This window comes from Homo sapiens, chromosome 1 (genome assembly GCF_000001405.40).
Source record: "Homo sapiens chromosome 1, GRCh38.p14 Primary Assembly".
Taxonomy (NCBI): Eukaryota; Metazoa; Chordata; class Mammalia; order Primates; family Hominidae; genus Homo; species Homo sapiens.
This window is the reverse complement of record NC_000001.11, coordinates 9,076,560-9,099,833: the sequence shown is the minus strand read 5'-3', so window position 1 is coordinate 9,099,833 and position 23,274 is coordinate 9,076,560. Positions and strand designations below refer to the sequence as shown.

At 46.2% G+C, this 23,274-nt stretch overlaps 1 protein-coding gene and 1 non-coding gene across 8 annotated transcripts in view; one reads left to right on the top strand and one right to left on the bottom strand.

Moving 5' to 3' along the window:
• SLC2A5 (solute carrier family 2 member 5) overlaps nucleotides 5,639–23,274 on the top strand; it is a 59,090-nt gene continuing 41,454 nt past the window's right edge. For 2 of the 7 annotated variants that reach the window (XM_047428623.1, XM_047428588.1), the window contains exons 1-2: nucleotides 11,383–11,462; nucleotides 14,668–14,820. The gene's annotated coding sequence lies outside the window, so the exon portion shown is untranslated. The other 5 variants (XM_047428615.1, XM_047428614.1, XM_047428606.1 and 2 more) reach the window with 5 other exon arrangements.
• Nucleotides 16,955–17,138, bottom strand: LOC124900441 (small Cajal body-specific RNA 16). The gene has a single exon (XR_007067398.1).

The window sequence follows — 23,274 nt, the reverse complement described above, 5'->3', positions numbered from 1 at the left end:
TTCACCCTTCATGCATGGTTGTATCACACACAGGGTGACCCGCCGCAGCTGCATCTGCAGGCCTCCTGGTGGTCAGGGACTGCTGGGACACAGGGTCTCTTCTTGGAAGGGAGCAGCCTTCCAAACGCATCTACTGGAGCTGGCTGCCTTGCTGCGTGACTTGCAGATCTGCACTGGCCATGCAGCCCCACCTCCGGTCATAGTTTTCTTGAAACTGCTCCGCCTTGGGAATTTTGCTGCCAAAAGCTCCTAAACTTTCTTCCACTGTCTGGATTTTGTGCAGTTAAAACTGCATTGAGGAGAATGGCTTGAACCCGGGAGGCAGAGATCGAAGTGAGCCGAGATCACGTCACTGCACTCCAGCCTGGGTGACAGAGCAAGTCTCAAAAAACAAACAAAACAACAACACAAACTGCATTGAATAGCCCCTAGAAGTGGCATCTTGAATTTGGTTATTAAGGTACAACATACACAAACTTAAGTAATATTAAAATAGCAGGCCTGGTCCTGCTACTTCGACGCGACCACCCTGAGGTTTGTTAACTATTCTCTCCTGCCTTTGTCTTTGCATCTCTAAACTTGATGCTATGTGCTTACCTGGGAGAAAATGGAAGCATCCCCTTGAGGCCCTCTCCTGTGACCCTCCACTCATCAACTGCCATGCGCCTTTCCCTTTCCATCTGTCTCCCCTCAGTGACCTTTTTTCACCTCTTCCCTGACCTCTTCTCCGGAGTTCTCTTCGCCTTCCTCACCCCAGCAAATGCAGCATGCATTCAGAATCCAGGCTCCGTGTTCCACACTGCTCCACACCACTCCACACCGTTCCCTCTTGCCTGACCTCCTGCTTCTGCCTATATGCAGCTCACACCCCACAGGGTCACCTCCTTCTGCTCCCATAGACTTCTAAGCGGGTCTTTGGGATGCCACAGTCTCTGCAGAAACCATACGTTCCAGGGACCACTCTACCAGGCATTTTCCCCAGAGCCTGCCAGGCTCCTGGCACAGAGTCAGGCTGTATCCAAGGGTCAGCCCAGCATGCAGCTGAGGCTTAGGCCTTGCACATAGGAAAAGCTCCAGCAGGGGAAGCTTTGGGGGCAAGGTGGACCACTTTCTGAATGAAGCATGCGTGTCTAGTAACAATTACTCACCTGTGGGAGGAGAGTCCAGAATCCAGGCTCCACGAGGAAAAGGATTTGCCAGATGTGGTGGGGTCAGGACGTTGTCACTAGCTAATAGCTGGCGTTTCCTGAGTGCTTACCCTGTGCCAGGCCAGATATGAAGTTGCCCTTCTGCGGGCAGGATCCTGGAAACTGCACGGGTCACAGGCCCATGGAGTTGGCACTGCCTGTACACAGGACAAAGCTGGTGCTTACCAGGGAAGTGAAAGGCACTCCTATTGCAGGGCCCTAGTGTAACCGCCCAGTGGGTTCACCTTGCCCGCTGCCTAGACAGAGCCGATTTATCAAGACAGGGGAATTGCAACAGAGAAAGAGCGATTCACACAGAGCCAGCTGTGTGGGAGACCAGAGTTTTATTATTATTCCAATCGGTCTCCCAGAGCATTTGGGGATCGAGTTTTTAAAGATAATTTGGTGGGTGGGGAGGGGCCAGTGAGTCGGGAGTGCTGATTGGCTGGGTCAGAGATTAAATCATAGGGAGTTGAAGCTGTCCTCTTGTGCTGAGTCAGTTCCTGGGTGAGGGCCACAAGATGAGATGGGCCAGTTTATCGATTTGGTGCCAGCTGATCCATCAAGTGCAGGGCCTGCAAAATATCTCAGGCACTGACCTTAGGTTTTACAATAGTGATGTTATGCCTAGGAGCAATTTGGGGAGGGTCAGAATCTTGAATCCTCAGCTGCATGACTGCTAAACCATACTTTCTAATCTTTTGGCTAACAAGAAGGGGATCTACCTTGAGAAAAGGGCTGCTATCTTCTTTTTTCTAAACTATAAACTAAGTTCCTCCCCAGATTAGTTCAGCCCATGCCCAGGAATGAACAAGAACAGCTTGGAGGTCAGAAGGAAGATGGAGTTGGTTAGGTCAGATCTCTTTCACCGTCTCAGTCATAATTTTGCAGTGGCAGTTTCACTAGCAGGGTCTCAGAGTAGGAGAGAACAACATTGGGGTATTTATTCTTTTTTTTTTTTTTTTTTTTTGAGACGGAGTCTTGCTCTGTCACCCAGGCTGGAGTACAGTGGCACGATCTCGGCTCATCGCGATCTCCAACTCCCAGGTTCAAGCAATTCTCCTGCCTCAGCCTCCCTAGCAGCTGGGAGTACAGGCATGCGCCACCACACCTGGCTAATTTAATTTTTGTATTTTTAGTAGAGACAGGGTTTAGCCATGTTGGCCAGGCTGGTCTTGAACTCCTGACCTTGTGATCCACCTGCCTCTGCCTCCCAAAATGCTGGGATTACAGGCGTGAACCACCACGCCTAGTCCATATTTTTGAAGATCAAAACATATAGTTTCAGATGAGTCTTTCAGCCTTCTTGGGATTAGCAAGTCGTGATGTAATCCTTTCACACATGTGAGCACAGCATGATGAGGATTTGCTGGTGGCTAGTTGAATGAGTTTTGAGTCTAAGCTATCATTGGATGCTTTCTATTGAAGAGCTGATGAATCTTTCCAGGAAGTTCCTGGAGTGAACCATAAAGTTATTTGCAGCAGTTGTCTTGCAGGACAAGAATCTCCTGGGCATAGTGAAGTGATATTGATGAAGGCAGCCGTGTGTTTATCAAGTCATCTTACAGTAGACAAGCTGAGGGGATGGCTTTGATTCTCCAAGGAAACGAGAAGCAGGTGGGTCCCGACGACCAGGTTTGTGAACGACGAGGCTCTGGAAAGAGAGAGACTGAGTTCCAACTATGGCTCCATTGTTTATTATACTTGATCTTGGCCACAAGGCCGAGAAGTGGACTCCATCTTTTATTTATTTATTATTATTATTTTTTTTGGAGACGGAGTCTTGCTCTGTTGCCCAGGATGGAGTGCAATGGTGTGATCTTGGCCTACTGCAACCTTCACCTTCTGGGTTCAAGCGATTCTCCTGCCCCAGCCTTCCATGTAACTGAGACTACAGGCACATGCTACCATGCCCAGCTAATTTTTGTATTTTTAGTAGAGATGGGGTTTTGCCATGTTGGCCAGGCTGGTCTTGAACTCCTGACCTCAGGTGATCCACCTGCCTCAGCCTCCCAAAGTGCTAGGATTACAGGCATGAGCTGCTGTACCTGGCCCATTATTTATCCTTGTATTACTCTGAGAAAATGTTGACCTCACTCAGCCACAGGTTCATCTAAAATGGGGTGATATTGAGGCTTAAATGAAATCTAATGCTTCTAAAGCTGCCTTTGCAAAAATTATGACAGTGAGAGAAATCCAACATTGTTGATTCTGTCTTGCTTCTAAGCTCCAGGCTGTCCTTGGTCATTCCTGAGTATGGGCCAAGCTAACTTTGGGAGAAATTTAGTTTAGAGTTTAACCTTAAAGCAAGGATGATAATAGCCCTTCTCAAAACTAAACCACCTTTGTAAAACTAATGAAAGTCCACAAGGTTAGGATTATGAGAGGGGCCTGAATTCTGCTAAGATGTAGGCATAGGTAAATGACTACCAGCCATTGTTCCAGAGGTCACAAGACTTATAACCTCCCCAATTACTCCCGTAAGTAACATCACTATTGTAGAACCTAAGATTTGCTTTTTGAGATGTCTCAGACTTGTATTTCTGATGATGGCTAACTCTACCTGGACTCATGACTCAACCCATCCTGTGGCCCCACCCAGAGGAGGACTCAGCACTGTAAGACTTAAAGAAACAAGAAAGAAACACAAAATGTGGCTTGACAGTTAAGGACAGGTTTATTTTAGAGAAAACAAACCTGAGAGGGGCTTCCGGCTGAGTTAGGTCAGAGAGCCCTTCTCTCTGACAGACTAAGGATATTTAAGGGTTTTTTGGAAGGTGGGTGAGCTTATTGTAGGTTCAGAATGTTTCTATGTGAGGGAAAATTTATTGCGGGGTTAGAATGTCTCTGGTCAGAGGGGAGGCTGTCTTGGGGTTGGCATGTTTCTGGTCAGAGAGGGGTTTATCTTAGCATTGGAATGTTTCCAGTTATGCTAATATTGGCCATTAGGCTGATGTTCTGGGGCTGGATTTAGGCGGTTTTTCATCCATCAACGGGAACGTAGGATGGCGGTGTTTGTTCAAGATGGCAATGTTCCTGCTCTGTCAATCCAGTCCCTATAGTTATAAAAAGGATGAGGGGCGGCGTGTTCTTTCTGGCTACTTCCTGCTGAGGGCTGGGGGGCAGAGGGCGGAGAGTTCTTTGGTTTCGGATTAATTACAGGAGTAACTCCATTGTAGATGTTTTTGGGTAGTTGGTTGTCAGATGGCCATGATCCTGTTGGTTAAAAAGCTTTGAAAATGGTTCATTAAGCAGGGTAAGAACATTAGTCCTAGGCATATTATTAGGAGAGGGCCCAGGAATGGGATGACCCATGTTAGGATTTTGTGTTTAAACCAAGAATTTACTTGGTTGTCTTGGTATTCTCTTAGCTTTTTAGTCCTTTCTTTAAGTTTTTTTAGCAGCATCTCTTACTAGGCCCTATTGGTTGAGACAGAAGCAACATTCTTCACCCAGTGAGAGGCAGAGGCTCCAGTTTTCAGCCGTTATAAGATTTAGCCCTTGTCTATTTTGGAGGACTACTTCAGCCAAGGAGTCTAATTGGTCTTGGACTCATATAAGGCTTTGGGCCATATCTTCTAATGAATCCTGCAGGTCTGTTGACAGAGCTTTAAAGTATGTTAAGGAGGTGGGTAATCCTCCTGCTCCCAACCCAGTCCCAGAGGTTATACCTAAGGTGGCCATTAAAGGAATGACTTGGATGGCCCTCCTTTTTCTAACATACTGGACGGATGGGATGGATAAAGGCTGATTAGGAGGAACTAAGCCAATGGTGGGAGACAGAAAAACTAGGGTACAGGTTCCAGTCCAGTTGGTGGGGAGAAAAAGATATGTGTTGGTGCCACACAAAAAGAATAAGGCTTTGTCGTAAATATAGGCAGAGATATGGAAAGAAAATAAGTGAATTAAAGATGGGATATTTTTCCTTTCCTGTGGTTCATTACTCCAGGTGGACAAGGAGGAGGCCAAGGAGACACACCTACTATAGTAGAGATATAGGAGGAGTATAGGAGGAGGGTTTTTTGTTTTTTCAGACAGAGTTTCCCTCTTGTTGCCCAGACTGGAGGGCAATGGCGCGATCTCGGCTCACCGCAACCTCTGCCTCCTGGGTTCAAGCGATTCTCCTGTCTCAGCCTCCAGAGTAGCTGGGATTACAGGCACATGCCATCACGCCCGGCTAATTTTGTATTTTAGTAGAGACGGGGTTTCTCCATGTTGGTCAGACTGGTCTTGAACTCCCAATCTCAGGTGATCCGCCCACCTCAGCCTCCCAAAGTGCTGGGAATACAGGCGTGAGCCACCGTGCCCATCTGGAGGAGTTTTTTTTACACATCTAATGTGGTCAGATGTTGCGCCACTGATACTGAGCCACGGAAAAATGTGGGCACTAGGGGAAGCAGAGGTTAGGCCAGGGGGAGGGGCAGTAAAAGGAGCCGTTGCAGGAATGCTCCGTTCGCTTCAGGCAATACTTGGTAGTCAACCGGGTGAGTGTGATGGTCAGAGGGGTGCTTAACAATGATAGTGTGGCTGCATTAGTTAGAAGTTAAGAACCCTACAGGGAAACTTCCCCCAGAGGCTGAAAAGCAAATTGAGGCTTGTTGTAAAAGGGGCGTGTGTTTAGTTATGGGCCCTTCAATGGGAGGGCCTTGGGGCTTAAGGTGTTCTAGGGAGTTGTAATCGGTTTGAAATAATTTGTTGGCCTGATCTGCCCTGGAAATGGGATAATTGCCGACCAGCATGTCAGCTTTTTCCAAAAACGAAGCTCCTTTTTGGAGTTGATAGATTAGGGTTATGTTTCCTGTTAAAAGGTCATGAAGGGGTGCAGGAAGGGCTGTGTAAGCTGAGGAAGACAGCGGTAAGCACATCCAGGTCTCCGAAAAAAAGGAACAGTTAGCTTGCCACAAGAGAGATTGTGTAAGGTTTATAGAGCGTTCTAGTTTGAGCAGTAAGGAGTGGTTGTATTGGTGAGGTTGATGTGATTAGGGAATTTATATTGAAAGAAACAAGCAAAAAGAGAAAAAAGTTATTTGGGTAAGAGTAAAGTCCTGGAAAGCTCCTTGAAGCCATAGGTCCCATAGAATAGTGAGGAGCTGATCAGGATGTACAGTGGGAGTTTCATAAGCATACCACTGATGGTCTGTAGTAAGGTTGGTTAGGAAGTGATGAAAGTTTGGGAGACAAAGAGACATAAGCGGCTTATGTGCACTCCTCCTCCTTTTCCTCCAGGATTTGGGTGAGGCGAAGGGAAGTTGGTCCTGTGGAGATGTAACAGAAGGCTGAAGGGGTTTTAGATTTGGTTGTTTGGGTATGTGGTGAAGGGAAGTCTGTTTTCTTGAGAGAAAAATGATGAAACCAGCTGGGGAGTCCCTGGAGTTTTGCTGCTGTGGGTGTAGTAACGATGATCTGGTAAGGTCCCTTCCATTTAGGTGTGAGGTGGGGATTGGGGGTAGGGCTGAGATCTTTTACTAGAACCCAGTCTCCTGGCTGTAGGAAGGGATTAAAGGAGTTGGCGATGGGTTGTGGCAAGTATTTGTCGGCGTATTCCCAAATGAAATGGCGGATGGTATGCAGAAGAGGGGAAACGAGAGGGGTTTGTAGAGGTGGGGCTTGACCCTGAGGTGCAGCAAAAGGGGCGAGTGGTCTCCTATACATGAGTACAAAGGGTCTGAGCATTAGAGGCTTACGTGGGAGCGCCCAAATTTTTGGAAGGGCTAAAGGCAAAAGGGTAACCCAGTCTTTATGTGTCTGGAGTGAGTACCTGGTGAGGGTGTTTTTTAAAATGCCGTTCATTTTCTCAACCTTTCCTGAAGACTGAGGTTGATAGGGGATGCATAGCTTCCAGGTGATTTGTAGGGCTCCTGCAAGTGTTTGAGTAATTTGAGAAATGGATTCAGGACCATTATCAGATTGAAAAGAAAGAGGCACCCTGAACCTGGGGATGATTTCTGTTATTAATTTGGAGGCGACAGTAGAAGCTCGTTTGTTTGTTGTGGGAAAGGCCTCAACCCATCCCGAAAAGGTATCAACCAGAACTAAAAGAAATTGAACCCTTTTTACTGGGGGCATATGGGTAAAATCAATTTGCCAATCCTGTTTTGGAAGGTGTCCTCTGGCTTGGTGGGTTGGGAAAGAAGGGGGTATTGGAGTGGGGTGAAGCTTTTTGGCAAATAGAGCATTGATGGGAAATGGCTTTTAACTCTTCCTTTATATCTGGGGTTAAGTGTATATGGAAACTTAAGAAATGGTGTAGAGGGAAATGGCTAGTGTGGAAGAGGTTGTGAATGTCCCGTAGAAGAGTTGTTTATTCAGGGTCAGGTAGGACTAATTTGTTTTGTATGAACCAGTATGTAGGGTTTGAATTGTGCCCCCACTGTGGTTAGTTGTTGTGTTTGGTGTTCTGGATAAAAAGAGGGGATATGTTGTATGAGGGGAAATAGATATTGGGGAATTGGGTGATTGGTTGAGGCATGTTTTACCCAAGTCAGCCTCATTGTTCCCTAAAGAAATGTGGCTTTTGTCCGATTGATGTACGTTGCAATGGATAACTGCAACCTTTTCTGGAAGTAGAACTGCCGTTAATAGATGATGGATGGGTTTTTCATTAATGATAGGGGTTCCCTGAGCCGTGAGATAGCCCCACTCACTCCAAATTTGAGCACTGGAATGAATAATGTTATAGGCATATTTAGAATCGGTGTATATATTAAAGTGTGTGTGTTTTTGCTAGAGCTAGTGCTCTTATTAGGGCAACTAGTTCTGCTTGTCGGGAGGGTGTGCCCAAAGGCAAGGGAGCAGCCTCTGTGACTTTTCTAGGTGGGAGAAAGTGGATATTATCATGATACCCTCCAATGATGGCATATCCTGCTTTGAGGGGAGGGTTTTTTGATGCGCTCCCATCTATAAACCAATCTGGGACTCCTTTTATGTGAGTGGAAGTAAGGTGGTAAAACATGGTGAGAGAACTTTCAATTAGATTAGAGCATGAGTGTTGGTCAGGGTTTAAAATTGGCATTGAAGGTAAGAGTGGTAGGATTAACAGGGGGCATCATGAAGAGAGATAGAGGGTTGAGAGAGTTGAATATAGGGCTTGCACATGAGAGGATGAGATGGAGATGAGCACCTTATGGCTGACCATATCTTGTAGACTGTGAGAAGGAAATACTTGAAGAGGTTCATAGAACGTGAGCTTTTGTGTGTAATTATTGAAGCTGTGGCCAAAAATTTTAAGCAAAGAGGCCAGCTTTTATAAACGGGGTCCAGTTGTTTGGAAAAATATGCCACTGGTTGGAGGGAGTTTCCCATGGGTTGGGCTAGAAGTCTAAGGGCCTGATTATGAGAACTATGTAAATATAGATGAAAAGGTCTTAGCGGATTTGGAAGGCCTAAAGCGGGGTCCTGTAATAAGGCATGTTTTAGGTGCAAGAAAGCATGATAGAAGGTCTGGGATGGGAGTAAGTAGTTGGTCAAGATTTCCTTTAGTGTGTTAATAAAGGAGTTTAGCAATAATGGCAAAATTTGCTATCCATATTCAGAAATAGCCCACTAATCCGAGGAAGGAAAGTAAGTCCCTTCTTATTTTAGGAAATGGGATTTGTTGAACACGTTGCTTTTGTGCTGACAGAATATCCTGGATATTCGGAGTTATGATTAATCCTAGGTATGAAACTTTCGGAGATGTTAATTGGGCCTTTCTTTTGGATTCCTAGTACCCATTCAGCCAAAAAATTTAAAAGCTTGGTGGTGTGTTGAATACAATATTTTAGGGAATGGCTGCAAAGGAGTAAATTGTCCACATATTGAAGCAAAATGCTAGGTTGTAGAGGTAGTTGGGAGAGGTCTAATTGAAGTGCCTGACAGAAATAGTGAGGGCTGTCCCTAAACCCCTGGGGGAGGACAGTCAGGTGAGTTGTTGGGAGCAGCCTGTGTCAGGATCAGTCCAAGTGAGAGCAAAAAGATTTTGAGAGGAGGTATGTAGAGGGATAGTAAAAAAGGCATCTTTAAGGCTTATTACAGAGAAGTTGCTAGTGTTGGGAGGAATTCATGACAGGAGGTTATAGGGGTTGGGGACAACAGGATAAACAGGAACAAAAGCGGAGTTGATTTGTCGCAAATCCTGATCCAGTCTATAGGAGCCATCCTGTTTTTTAATTGGGAGAATAGGATTATTGTGGGAAGAATGGGTGGGGATTAAAATATTGGCAGCCAAAAGTTGAGAGATGATGGGCTTGAGTCCCCGTAATCCATTCAGGATTGAGGGGATATTGTAGGACCACTATATAGTGCTTAGGATTCTTCAGTGAAATTTGGATTGGAGAATGGTGGGTAGCTATTATGCAGAAGTCAGTGTTCCATACTATGGGGTTTACTTGGCTGAGGAATTTGGGATTTAAGTCTGTTTGATGTTGAATGTCTGAGGAGGGGTCTGTTCTTGACATAATAATATATAAGAGTGGCTTTGGTTTAGGGCCAATAAATGAATGATTCCCCCTAGTTTGTGTAGAATGTCCCTTCTTAATAAAGGAGTGGGACAGTGAGGAATGACCAAAAAAGAGTGAGGGTGACTCCCTGAAATGAGCAGTATAGTGGCAGTGTTTTGTTTCTTATATGCCCCTCACGCCAACAGAAACGGATGAATGTTCTAATGGGCCTTCATATTCAGTTAATACTGATAGGCTCGCCCCAGTATCCAAAAGAAAGGAAGTAATATTAATGGATACTGTCCAAATTACCCTGGGTTCCATGGACTCACTAGATGTGGGGGTGAAGAATCCCAGGGACCCTCATTCCTCCATGGGCAGTGCCAGCTGTGAAGAGATTTCCTCCTGTGATGGTCAGGGGGCTTCATTATGAGTGGCACCCAAACGGGGAAGGTGTTCCCATTGGGGGCAGTCCATTTTCCAGTGTTCCCAAAGACTGCAAGTTGGGCACAGTTTGGTGGGCAGCCAGGGGTTAGGCCAAGCCTTTGGCCAGCGTCCAGGGTTGCCACATCAGAAACAGACTCCCAGAGAGGTGGGGGAGTTTCCTTTTGGGTTGTTGGGAGACTTTTGTGTAATTGACTTTTGGACAGCAGAGGCAAGCATCTGGTATTTTAAACAGAGACGCTTGCCTTTTTGAATTTTTTGTTCCTTGTCTCTGTTGTTAAAGACACAGAAGGCTGTATTTAGGAGATCCCACTGAGATGTCTGGGGACCCTCCTCTAATTTTTATAATTTTTTCTAGATATCTGGGGCAGATTGGGAAATAAATTGAAGGTGGTGAAAAGTTTGACCTTCTCTAGATTCTGGGTCCAAATTGGTATGTTTTAGCATAGCTTCAATGAGGTGTGATAAGAAAAGGGTAGGATTTTCCTGGGGCTCTTGTGTAATTTCTCTAAGTTTTTCATAATTAGCTGCCTTATGGGCATTTTTGTCCATGCCCACAAGGAGACAGGTAATTGTGTGGTCTCTTTATCTGATGCCAGCATCTCCCTGTTGGTAAGTTCAGTTTGGGTCTCTATGGGGAACTGCATCATTAGCCACTGGATTTTGTATAGGGGCTTGATTATGGAGTTTATCTGCGTGTGTTTCAGCTGAACACCAGATGTACTCTTTTTCGTCAGGAGTGAGGGTGGAGGTTAGAATTATATGAATGTCATGCCAAGTTAAATTAAAGGATTGAATTATGTGCAGGAATTTCTTGCGATAATGAGAGGAGTTTTCAGAGAAAGATCCCAGATGCTGTTTGATTTGTGACAAATCAGAGATGGAGAAAAAGACATGAGCGCAAGGGATGCCTTTAATCCCAACCACTTTCCAGAGAGGAAGACTGGCAGGAGTGGCTTGACTGGCTGAAGTAGCTTTTGCTGTTGTTGTTGTTGTTGTTTTTGAGACGGAGTCTTGCTCTATCACCCAGGCTGGAGTGCAGTGGCGCGATCTCGGCTCACTGCAACCTCCACCTCCTGGGTTGAGGCAATTCTCCTGCCTCAGCCTCCTGAGTAGCTGGGACTACAGGCACCCGCCACCACGCCTGGCTAATTTTTTTGTATTTTTAGTAGAGACGGGATTTCACCGTGTTAGCCAGGATGGTCTCAATCTCCTGACCTCGTGATCCACCCACTTTGACCTCCCAAAGTGCTGGGATTACAGGCGTGAGCCACTGCACCCAGTTGAAGTAGTTTTTGAGTGGGTAACGGGTGAAGAATGTGGGGGAGAGTGGCAGTTGGCCAGATGCCGAACCACCACCAGGGGTGGTTGGCAAACTGCAGCCACCCAAGGGGCTGGAGTAGTTTTCAAACAGGTAATAGGTGGAGAAGGAGGAGGGAGGGGGTTTGGTGGTAAAGGCTTGGGAGCAGGAGGGGCCAGCTGGGTGTAGGGTTCGGGTGGGTGAGGAGTGGATGCAGAGAGTTGAGAATATGGAGGGGTTTTATCTGCAGGGTCAAAAGGGGTTTCAGAGGAGGGGTTCCAGAGGAAGGAAAAACCCAGGGAGGATTTTCATTAAGAAGAGGGATTTCATGAAGGGTGCAAGCTTGGCATAGGGAGGGTCGGGATCTAAGACAGAAGAAAGCCTGAATACAGGGAATCTCTTGCCTTTTGCTATTCCTGGTTGTAAAGTTGTTAAGGTCCCTGAGAATTTGAAAGTCAAAGGTGCCATTTTCAGGCCATCAACTGTCATTATCTCATTTGCACTGGGGCCAGGCTGTGTTGTAATAAAAAACTAAATGCTTTGGCTTTAGGTTCCCCCATAAGCCAAATGTTGGATGTTCCAGTTGGAATTGGCAAAGGGCCTCCTGGACTGGAGGCACACGAGGAAGAGAGAGAGAGAGAAGAGGAAGGAAGAGGGAGCAAGTGCTAGAGAGCGAAATACCTGTTGCGGGCAGTTGGAGGTGGATTCCTGAGACCTGAGGGTTTTGAGAGCCCACCGGAGAGTAGCCCTGGCCCGAGTCTCACAGTCCCCTTCAGATTAATTGTCCTCCTCACATAAATCGCTTGAAAAGTGAAACAAGAGAAAAGACAGGGCGGCTGTCCAGAGGCTCTCAGGATCCAGGAGTTAATTCAGGATGAGGGCCGCTGCTGCCCACTGCCTCTTGGGTTGCAAGAGAGCCTCTGCCGCCAACACCCATCCCGGGTTTTGGCACCAAATGTAAGACTTAAAGAAAGAAGAAAGAGGCCAGGTGTGGTGGCTCACGCCTGTAATTCCAGCACTTTGGGAGGCTGAGGCGGGAAGATCACAAGGTCAGGAGATTGAGACCATCCTGGCTAACACGGTGAAACCCCATCTCTACTAAAAATACAAAAAATTAGCCAGGCATGGTGGTGGGTGCCTGTAGTCCCAGCTACTTGGGAGGCTGAGGCAGGAGAATGGCGAGAACCCGGGAGGCGGAGCTTGCAGTGAGCCAAGATTGCACCACTGCACTCCAGCCTGGGCGACAGAGCAAGGCTCTGTCTCAAAAAAAAAAAAAAGAAAGAAGTAAGAAACACAAAATGTGGCTTGACAGTTAAGGACAGGTTTATTTTAGAGAAAACAAACCTGAAAGTGGCTTCTGGCCGAGTTAGGTGAGACAGCTCTTCTCTCTTACAGACCTAAGGATATTTAAGGGTTTTGAAAGAGGGGACTTATCATAGATTCGGAATGTTTCTATGTGAAGGAAAGTTTATTGTGGGGTTGGAATGTCTCTGGTCACAGGGGAGGCTGTCTTGGGGTTGGCATGTTTCTGGTCAGAGAGGGATTTATCTTAGGGTTGGAATGTTTCTGGTTATGCTGACATTAGCCATTAGGCTGATGTTTTGGGGCTGGATTTAGGGGTTTTTTAATCAAGTGGAACTTAGGATGGTGGTGTTTGCTCAAGATGGTGATGCTCCTGCTCTGTCAAGCACCAGTACCGTTTTCCATACCCTTATGATGGCATTCCAGAACCAATCAATAGCACCCATTCCCTAGTCCACTGCCCACCAAACTATCTTTGAAAATCCCTAACCTCAGCCAGGTGCAGTGGCTGACGCCTGTAATCCCAGCACTTTGGGAGGCCAAGGTGGGTGGCTTGCTTGAGATCAGGAGTTCAAGACCAACCTGACCAACTTGGTGAAACACTATCTGTACTAAAAAAATACAAAACTTAGCCAGGCGTGGTGGTGCATGCCTGTAATCCTAGCTGCTCAGGAGGCTGAGGTAGGAGAATCACTTGAACCTGGGAGGCAGAGGTTGTAGTGAGCTGAGATTGTGCCACTACACTCCAGCCTGGGCAACAAAGTGAGACTTCATCTCAATAAAAAAAAAAAAAAAAGAGAGAGAAAAAGAAAATCCCAGCCTCTGAGCTTTCCGGGAGATTAATTTGAGTGGTAACTCCCTCTCCCTTAGGGCGTGGCTGGCCTCGCAGCAATTAAACTCTTCCTTTACTGCAATGCCATGGTTTCAGTCAATTGACTTTGTCTGTGTAGCGGGCAGAAAGAACCCATCGGGCAGTTACACTTCAGGCAATGACTAAGCTGGAGAAAGAGCCCTTGAGAAAGTCCAGCTGTCATTATCCCTGCTAGTTAGCCTTTCTTCATTATCCAAGTGATCATGAAGATTGAACTCCCTGTCCCACTTCATATTAACTAGTTCCCTTCCTTTGTTCTCAGGGCCCCAGGCCCATCCTCAGCAGTCAACAGAGGACCTGGGAGGGAAGACTTATTCTTGTTGGGCAGTACCTGTTAATGAGGAAAGCATTTCCAGCAATTTCTTAGGACCATGATACCAGAGATGGGATCAGACCCTTCCTCCCTTCAGCTTTTCTCCCTGGCAGACAGCAGAACTCCCAGGATTTGCCTGGGCCCGTTGCATCAGGGAAAGCTTTTCAAATACCAGCAGATAAAACCTTTCTGCAGCCAGCACTTGTCTTGGCCTGGAGGGGAGCAAACCTGCCCCGTCCTGCACCACTGCCACCCCAGTGTAACCAAAGGTAAAATTCTAAGCCGCCCTCCCGACACAACCATCTGAATGAACTTCCTCCTCAGTCAGGGCTCTTAAAACTTAACCTGAGAGACTGTTTCAGGCCATAATGGAAGTGGGGTTCGAACATGCCTCATCAAACCTCTCCAGCACCAACAGTGACACAGACTTTAAGGCTGATAAAAAACATTTTGCAACTTATTCTCTCTGAAGCCTGCTAGCTAAAAGCTTCATCTGCATGGTAAAACTTTGGTCTCCACAACCTCTTATCTTACAGACATTCCTTTCTGTTTAATCCCAGGTCTTTAGACAAATTCAAACAATTATCAACCAGAAAGTGTCTAAATTTACCTATAGCCTGGAAGAACCCTCCCCCACCTTTGAATCGTCCCGCCTTTCTAGACCAAAACAATGTATTTCTTAAATGTGTTTGATTGATGTCTCATGCCTCCTTAAAATGTAGAAAAGCAAGCTGTACCCTTGGGCACATGTTCTCAGAACCCCCTGAGGGCTGTGTCATAGGCCGTAGTCACTCATACTTGGCTCAGAATAAATCTCTAAAAATATTTTACAGTTTGACTCTTTTCATCAACACCAGCACCACATTATCCCAGGAGGAAAAGCAGACGCGTGACAGAGTCAGAGAGCAGGCATAGAGTGCTGTGGCAGTCAGCCAGTGCCCACATCAACACCAAGGAGAGTCCTGCGGGTGCTGTGCAAGGCCGGGGTAAGTCAGTCCTGGTTGGGCACAGAGGCCTTGGGGCCGGGAGGAATCACTGATGCGCCACATTCAGGAAAAGCCTAGAGCAGAGCTTCTCGAACTTAAATGTGAGCTTGAACCACCAGGGATGTGGCCAAAATGCAGGTTCTGATTCAGCAGGTCTGGAGTGAAGTGGATTTTGCATTTTTCTAACCAGCTCCCAGGTGATGGGGCTGTTGCTGGTTTCCAGACCAACGGGGGCTGGAGGATGGTCTGGTTCCAGGGCCACCCAAGGGTGTGGCCGATGCTCACATGGTGTGGCTGCCCCCATAGGGCTGCTGGCTTCCAAAGCGTGTTTCTCAAGATCCTGGGTGAGATGCAAGATATGTTATCTGGATCTGGTGCCTGATGTAGTACCAGAGTCCGTGATGTGCTGGAACATGTTCAACAGGCTGGGATGGTGGGCCCGGGGCTGATTTATAGTGTGAGCTGATTTGTGTAATGTTTCTGATGCCAGTGGGCTAGAGGAGGTCCCCAAACGCCAGTGGGACCTTAACCGCAGGCAGTGTCCAGGCTTTTGACACCTTTGCCAGAAGGAATTCAAGGACAAGTCAGAAAATAGTGAAAGTACAGAGATTTATTGCAAAGCAAAAGGTACACACTCAAGAAAGGAGAGTTCGGGCCTACTCAAGAGAGAGTTGCACCCAGCAGGGTTGGGAGCTTCCACCTTTATGGGTTTCTTTAACCAAGGGGTGGGATATTTATGAAGATTCCTGGAAAAAGGTGAGGGTTTCTCAAAATTGTGGTGTTACCTGTTTTTATGCCAAATATGGATGTCCCAGGAACTGTCATGGCACTGGTGGATGTGGGTTTAGTATTATTATTATTTTTTTTTTTTTGAGACGGAGTCTCGCTGTCGCCCAGGCTGGAGTGCAGTGGCGCTATCTCGGCTCACTGCAATCTCCGCCTCCCAGGTTCACGCCATGCTCCTGCCTCAGCCTCCCGCGTAGCTGGGACTACAGGCGCCCGCCACCTTGCCCGGCTAATTTTTTGTATTTTTAGTAGAGACGGGGTTTCACCGTGTTAGCCAGGATGGTCTCGATCTCCTGACCTCGTGATCCGCCCGCCTCGGCCTCCCAAAGTGCTGGGATTACAGGCGTGAGCCACCGTGCCTGGCCGGGTTTAGTATGTGTTGTTTGTTTGTTTCTTTGTTTTGATATGGAGTTTCACTCTTGTTGCCCAGGCTGGAGTGCAATGGTGCAATCTCGGCTCACTGCAACCTCCACCTCCTGGGTTCAAGTGATTCTTCTGCCTCAGCCTCCCGAGTAGCTGGGATTACAGGCATGTGCCACCATGCCCTGCTAATTTTTTTGTATTATTAGCAGAGATGGGGTTTCACCATTTTGGCCAGGCCGGTCTTGAACTCCTGACCTCGGGTGATCTGCCCACCTCAACCTCCCAAAGTGCTGGGATTACAGGCATGAGCCACCGAACCCCGCAGGGTTTAGTATGTTAATGAGCACATAATGAGGTCCTACGTGAAACCTAGGTCAAATCCAGCGCTATGTTGATTCCAGTCGGCCTTAGCCAGCTTGGCCCACATCCTGTTTTTCAGGGCCCCTACTTCTGCAGCTATTTCAACAGTTTCCTTTTGCTAGTCATGCAAAACTGCTGCCTGGAATTTTCTATTCTCCTGCGACCACCCTGTATTATTCCTGTCTCATTTTCACCATGGCTGATTTCAAACCACTGTGGAGAAAAATGTGCACTTTCGTGGAAAATTGCATTGCTTCAAGCATACTCTTCCCGAATCAGCAGGGCCCTGCCCTTGCGTTGCCTTTGAGCTTACAGTTCTGTAAGTTGTAGATAAATGATGTCCCAGCAAAGTAGTTGTCTTTAAAACAATTTTTTTGAGACAGAGTCTTGCGGTGTTACCCAGGCTAGTATTGATTTCTTTTTTTTATTGGGGTGAAATTTACATAACATGAAATCAACAATTTGAAAGTGAACAATTTGGCAGCATTCACAGGGTTGCACAATTAATGAATAACTTCATCTATTTCTTCACCCCAAAAGGAAAAGGTGCCTATTAGCTGTCACTGCTCATTCCCCCTGCCCCCAGCCCCTGGCAGCCACCAATCTGCATTTTTTTTTTTTTTTGTCCTGTTTGCAGTACCATACATGATCATCGAACTGCTGCTAGAATGCCCACAGCTGTTACTGCAAATTCAAAACCCAGGAAAGACTTCTGGGAATTTACTTTAGGTCAGGGTTGGGCTGCCTGGTGCAAGATTGCACCCACAACTGGGCAGGTTCAAAAACATAGGAGCCTTTCCCCAGACCATCAATCTGCATTCTCTATGGATTTATCTATTCTGTATCTTTCACATAAATGGAATTGTACAATATGCAACCTTTTTCTGTCTGGCTTCTTTCACTCAGCATGTTTTTGAAGCTCATGTAGCACGTATGAGTACTTCTGTTTTTTTTTTAGAGACAGGGTCTCCCTATGTTGCCAAGGCTAGACTTGAACTCTGGGACTCAAGCAATCCTCCGACCTCAGCCTCCTGGGGAGCTGGGACTACAGGCATGCACCCCTGTGCCTGGCTCATTTCTTCTTATAGCTGTATAGTATTCCATTGTGTATGTGCCACAATTTGCCTATCTGTTCATCCACTGATGGACATTTTGGCTGTTTCCCCCTTTTGGCTATGTAAATACTGCTGCTACGAACATATGTGTACATGTATTCGCTTGAGTACATGTTTTTCATTCTTTTTGGGTATATATCCAGGAGTAGAATTGCTAGGTCATATGGTAATTCTATGTTTAACTTTTTGAGGAACCACCAAACTGTTTTTTCCTCAGTAGCTGAACCATTTTACATTCCCATCGGCAAGGTACAAGTGTTCTAATTTCTCCACATTCTAAACAACATTCGTTTTATTTTATTTTTTTTGAGACAGAGTCTTGCTCTGTCTCCCAGGCTGGGGTGCAGTGGTGCAATCTCAGCTCACTGCAACCTCCACCTCCTGGGTTCAAGCAATTCTCGTGCCTTGGCCTCCCAAGTAGCTGGGATTACAGGTGTGCACCAACACACCTGACTAATTTTTGTATTTTTAGTAGAGGTGGGGTTTTGCCATGTTGTTCAGGCTGGTCTTGAACTCCTGGGCTAAAACGATCCACCCACCTCAGCTCCCCAAAGTGCTGGAATTATAGATGTGAGCCACCTCACCTGACCACCAACACTAGTTAATTTCCCTTTTTTTTTAAGTATGATAGCCATCCTAATGTGTGAAGTGATACCTCATTTTGTTTTTGATTTGCATTTCTCTAGTGAGTAATGATGCCAAGTATCTTTTCATGTGCTTCTTGGTCATTTGCATATCTTCTTTGGAGAAAATAATCTATTCAAGTGTTTTGCGCATTTTGAATTTGGTTGTTTGTCTTTTGTTGTTGAGTTGTAAGAGTTCTTTATATATTCTGGATACCAGACCCTTATAAGATATACGATTTGCAAAAATTTTTCTTCTAGTCTCTTGTCTTTTTACTTTTTTTTTTTTTTTTTTTTTAAGAGAAGGAGTCTACCTCCATTGCCCAGGCTGGACTTGAACTCCTGATCTCTCCTGCCTCAGCTTCCCAAGTCGCTGGGAATATAGGCACATGCCACTGTACCCAGCTCATCTTTTTACTTTCTTGATAATGTCTTTTGAGGCACAAAAGTGTGGGTTTTGTTTTGGTCGTGTTTTTTTTTTTTGGGGTTTTTTTTTTTTTTTTTTCTGAAACAAGGTCTCATGCTGTTTCCCGGCCTGGAGTGCAGTGGTATGATCACAGCTCACTCCAGCCCTGACCAGTCAGGCTCAAGTGATCCTCCCACCTCAGCCTCTTGAGTAGCTGGGAACAAGGGCATGTGCCACCACCCTCAGCTAATTTTTTTTGTTTGTTTATTTGTTTTTAGTATTTTTTGTAGAGATGATGTTTCACCACATTGTCCAGGCCAGTCTTAACTCCTGAGCTCGAGTGATTTGCCTACCTCAGCCTCTGAGGTGCTGAGTTTGCAGGCGTGAGCAACCTCACCCACCACTTTTTCATTTTGATGAGGTTATTGGCAACCTGAAATAATTGAAAGGATCAGAATCCAGTTTAAAGGAGTTTATTCAAGGCCAGGCGGAGTGACTCACACCTATCGCCCCAGGCGAGAGGGATTAAAGGTCCCATAAGCACATTCCTTTAAGACTCAAAATAATTCCAGTTTCCAACAGCTTTGATTTTGAATTATTTGTTTTCACATTATATATAAGCTGGCTCCTGCACATCACTGGATATTATTTATGGCCTGCCTGGTCTCATTTTCTGTGGTCAAAGAGAGTGGTCTCATTAGGAAAGAACTTGAATAGACATTTCTCCAAAGATGTACAGACGGCCAACACGAATGTGAAAAGATGCTCAACGTCACTCATCATTAGGGAAATGCAAATCAAAACCACAATGAGAGCTCACCTCACACCTGTTAGGATGGCTACTACCAAAAACAACGATAACAGCAACCACAGCCCAGAAAATAACAAGTGCTGGTGAGGATGTGGAGAAATTGAAACTCTTATATACTGTTGGTGAGAACGTAAAATGGCGTAGCTACTGTGGAAAACAGAACGGTAATTCCTAAAAAAAATTAAAAATAGAATTATCATGTGATCCAGTGATCCCACTTCTGGGTATATATCCAAAATAATTGAAAACGGGGGCTCAGCGAGATACTTGTACACCCATGCGCATAGCTGCATTTCTCACAATTGCCAAAGGTATTAATAGAAGCAACCCAAGTAACCTGACAGATAAATGGGTAAACCAGATGTGGTGTGTGCACAGTGGAGTATGATCCAGCCTCAGAGAGCAAGGCAATCTTGTTCCATGTTACAGCATGAAGGACTCATGAAGACATGCTCTAAGTCTTCGGAAATCAGTTACAAAAAAGCAAATACTGCATGATCCTACTTACATGAGGTATTGTGAGTGCCCAAATTCGTAGAAGCAGAAAAGTAGAATGGTGGTTGCCAGGGACTTTGGGGAGGGAAAATGGGGAGTAGTTGTTTAATGGGGACGGAGTTTCAGTTTTGCAAGATGAAAAGGTTCTGGAGATCTGTTTCATAACAATGTGAATATACTTACCACAACTCAACTGGTACATTTATTTAAAAATGTACAGTTAAAATGATAAGTTTTATGTTATGATGTTTTTAAAAAGAGGGATATCGGCTGGGCGTGGTGGCTCACGCCTGTAATCCCAGCACTTTGGGAGGCCAAGGTGGGCAGATCACCTGAGGTCGGGAGTTTGAGATCAGCCTGGCCAACATGGTGAAACCCCGTCTCTACTAAAAATTCAAAAAATTAGCTAAGCATGGTGGCTCACGTCTGTAATCCCAGCTATTTGGGAGGCTGAGGCAGGAGAATCACTTGAGCCTAGGAGGCAAATGTTGCAGGGAGCCAAGATCACGCCACTGTACTCCAGCCTGGGTGACAGAATGAGACTCTGTCTCAACAAAATAAAGAAATAAATCAAAAATAAAAAGAGGAGTGTCTATCCAGGGTAATGTGTAACCGACAGAAGCCCCTTGGGTCCTGAAGAGCCTCTGCTGCTCCGGCTTTCACGTCTTCTGCCTGTGCTTCTCCAGGAGCACGCCCTTCCTGTGCACGTGCACTCTCTGATAGGCGAGGTCAAATTCTGTTCTTGGTGAGAAAACACATAGGCACCTTGTCATGTCTCTGAAGTTTACACCCCAGGCATATCAGAGCGTGATCAACAATCTCTCTGCCTCGGGGACATCTAGTAGGAGCTTGGAAGGGAGCTCAAGTGAGGACAGAATACAGAACTGGCTCCTGAAGGAAGATAAACTTGGAAGGCGCACGTTTTCTGGACCCTCCCTGCAGACTTGGGTTCCGGCGGCCAGGTGGCATGCCCAAGGTGGGGTGTGGCTTTTCACAGAAGAGGAAGAGGGAGACACCGCGCGTGGGCACTGGGGTTGGGAGGTCCTGTGTCAACCGACTGGATGCACTCCTCTCCCTTCCCCAGACGAGATACACTGCCTGTGCCAAAAGCAAAGCAAGGGCACTGTGGGGTGGTCAGGTCCACTCTGAATCTGTTAATGATTCCTTCCTTATCTAAATCTGGAATGTGGGAAAAGAAAAACAGCTGAGCAGTGTGAGCCCTGTGAGGTTCGCAAAATTTATTAGGCCCAGAGAGACGTGAGTGGGAACTTGAGTCACTTCCCCACCCATGTCCAGGGCAGCTATTTGACGACACTTTGTTCCTGATAGCTGCCTCACCCATTTTCTTCAGGGTTTTGGAATTCATGGTACAAAGAACAATGTAGTGTGGATCTACAGTTTACATGGTTTTGATGTAAATTCTTGGTAAAGAACTGTCTCTTCTTTAAATGAAATGTTTTTCAATAGTTTTTGGGGATACAAGTGGTTCTTGGTTACATGGATAAATTCGTTAGTGGTAATTTCTGGGATTTGGGTGCACCCATCACCCAAGCGCTGTACACTGTACCCAATACAAAGTCTTCTCTCCCTTTCCCGCCTCCTGTCAGAGGCATTGGAACCAGAGCGACTCCATCTTGAATAGGGACCGAGTAAAGTGAGGCTGAGACCTACTGGGCTGCATTCCCAGGAGGTTTAGGCATTCTTAGTCACAGGATGAAATAAGAAGTCAGCACAAGGTCACAAAAACCTTGCTGATGAAAGGATGTGGTAAAGAAGCCACAAAAACCCACCGAAACCAAGATGGTGATGGAAGTGACCTCTGGTTGTCCTCACTGTCATTATATGCTAATTATAATACATTAGCATGCTAAGAGACATTCCCACCAGTGCCATGACAATTTACAAATGCCATGGCAACCTCAGGAAGTTACCCTATATGGCCTAAAAGCGGGAGGAGCCCTCAGCTCCGGGGAACTGTCCACCCCTTTCCCAGAAAACTAGTGGATAATCCTCCCCTTGTTTAGCAAAGAACAAGAACTAATTATAAATATAATCAGTTGAGCAGCCCAGGCCACTGCTCTGCCTGTGGAGTAGCCTTTTTTTTATTTCTTTACTTTCTTAATAAACTTGCTTTCACCTTACTCTATGGACTCACCCTGAATTCTTTCTCACACAAAGTCCAAGAACCTTCTCTTGGGGTCTGGATCAGGACCAACACTCCCATTGCCCCTCCCTCCCTCCTGTCCTTCCTTCCTTCCTTCCTTCTTCCCCTTCTTTCCCTCCCTCCCTCCCTCTCTCCCTCCCTCCCTCTCTCCCTGTTTCACCCTTGTTGCCCAGGCTGGAGTGCAATGGAATGATCTCGGCTCACTGCAACCAGGTTCAAATGATTCTCCCGCCTCAGCCTCCCGAGTAGCTGGAATTACAGGTGCCTGCCACCAAGCCCAGCTAATTTTTTTCTTTTTTTTTTTGTATTTTTAGTGGAGATGGGGTTTCACTATGTTGGCCAGGCTGGTCTTGAACTCCTGACCTCAGGCGATCCACCTGCCTCAGCCTCCCAAAGTGCTGGGATTACAGGCGTGAGCCACTGCGTCCAGACTTTTCTGGGGGTTTTTTTTTTGTTTTTTTGTGTTCTTTTTTTTTTGCTTTTTTTTTTTTTGAGACAGGTTTTGACTCTGTTGCCCAGGCAGGAGTGCAGTGGCGCTATCTCAGTTCACTGCAACCTCCACCTCCCAGGCTCAAGCAATCCTTCCACTCTAGCCTCCCAAGTGGCTGGGACTACAGGCATGCAGCACCATGCCTGGCTAATTTTTGTATTTTTGTAGAGACGGTATCTTACCATTTTGGCCAGACTAGTCTTGAACTCCTGAGCTCAAGCGATCTGCCTGCCTCAGCCTCCCAAAGTGCTGGGATTATAGGCATGGGCCACCATGTCCAGCCTTCCTTTTTTCTTTTAAAAACCCACTTGTAAGGCTTGGCATGGTGGCTCATGCCTATAATCCCAGCACTTTGGGAGGCTGAGGCGAGCGGATCACGAGGTCAGGAGTTCGAGACCAGCCTGGCCAACATGGTGAAACCCTATCTCTACTAAAAATACAAAATTAGCCATGCGTGGTGGCAGGCGCCTGTAATCCCAGCTACTAGGGAGGCTGAGGCAGAAGAATCGCTTGAACCCGGGAGACGGAGGTTGCAGTGAGCCGAGATCACGCCACTGCATTCCAGTCTGGGCAACAAGAGTGAGACTGCATCTCAAAAAAAAAAACAAAAAAAACACCACACTTGTAACTATTGCTGATAGGAACATAAATTCAGGGCAACTTGAATCTATGCTCCTGGGTTGCAGTCCTCAAACTTGGCCCAAATAAACTCTCTACTTGTATGGATTTCACCTCAGTTTTTTCCTTTAGATTAATAAATGGGTGTGGCCAAGAGCCATTTCCTCTCCCCATCAATCAAGCAAGCCAAATATAGACACCACCTTGATAGCAACCCCGTTTT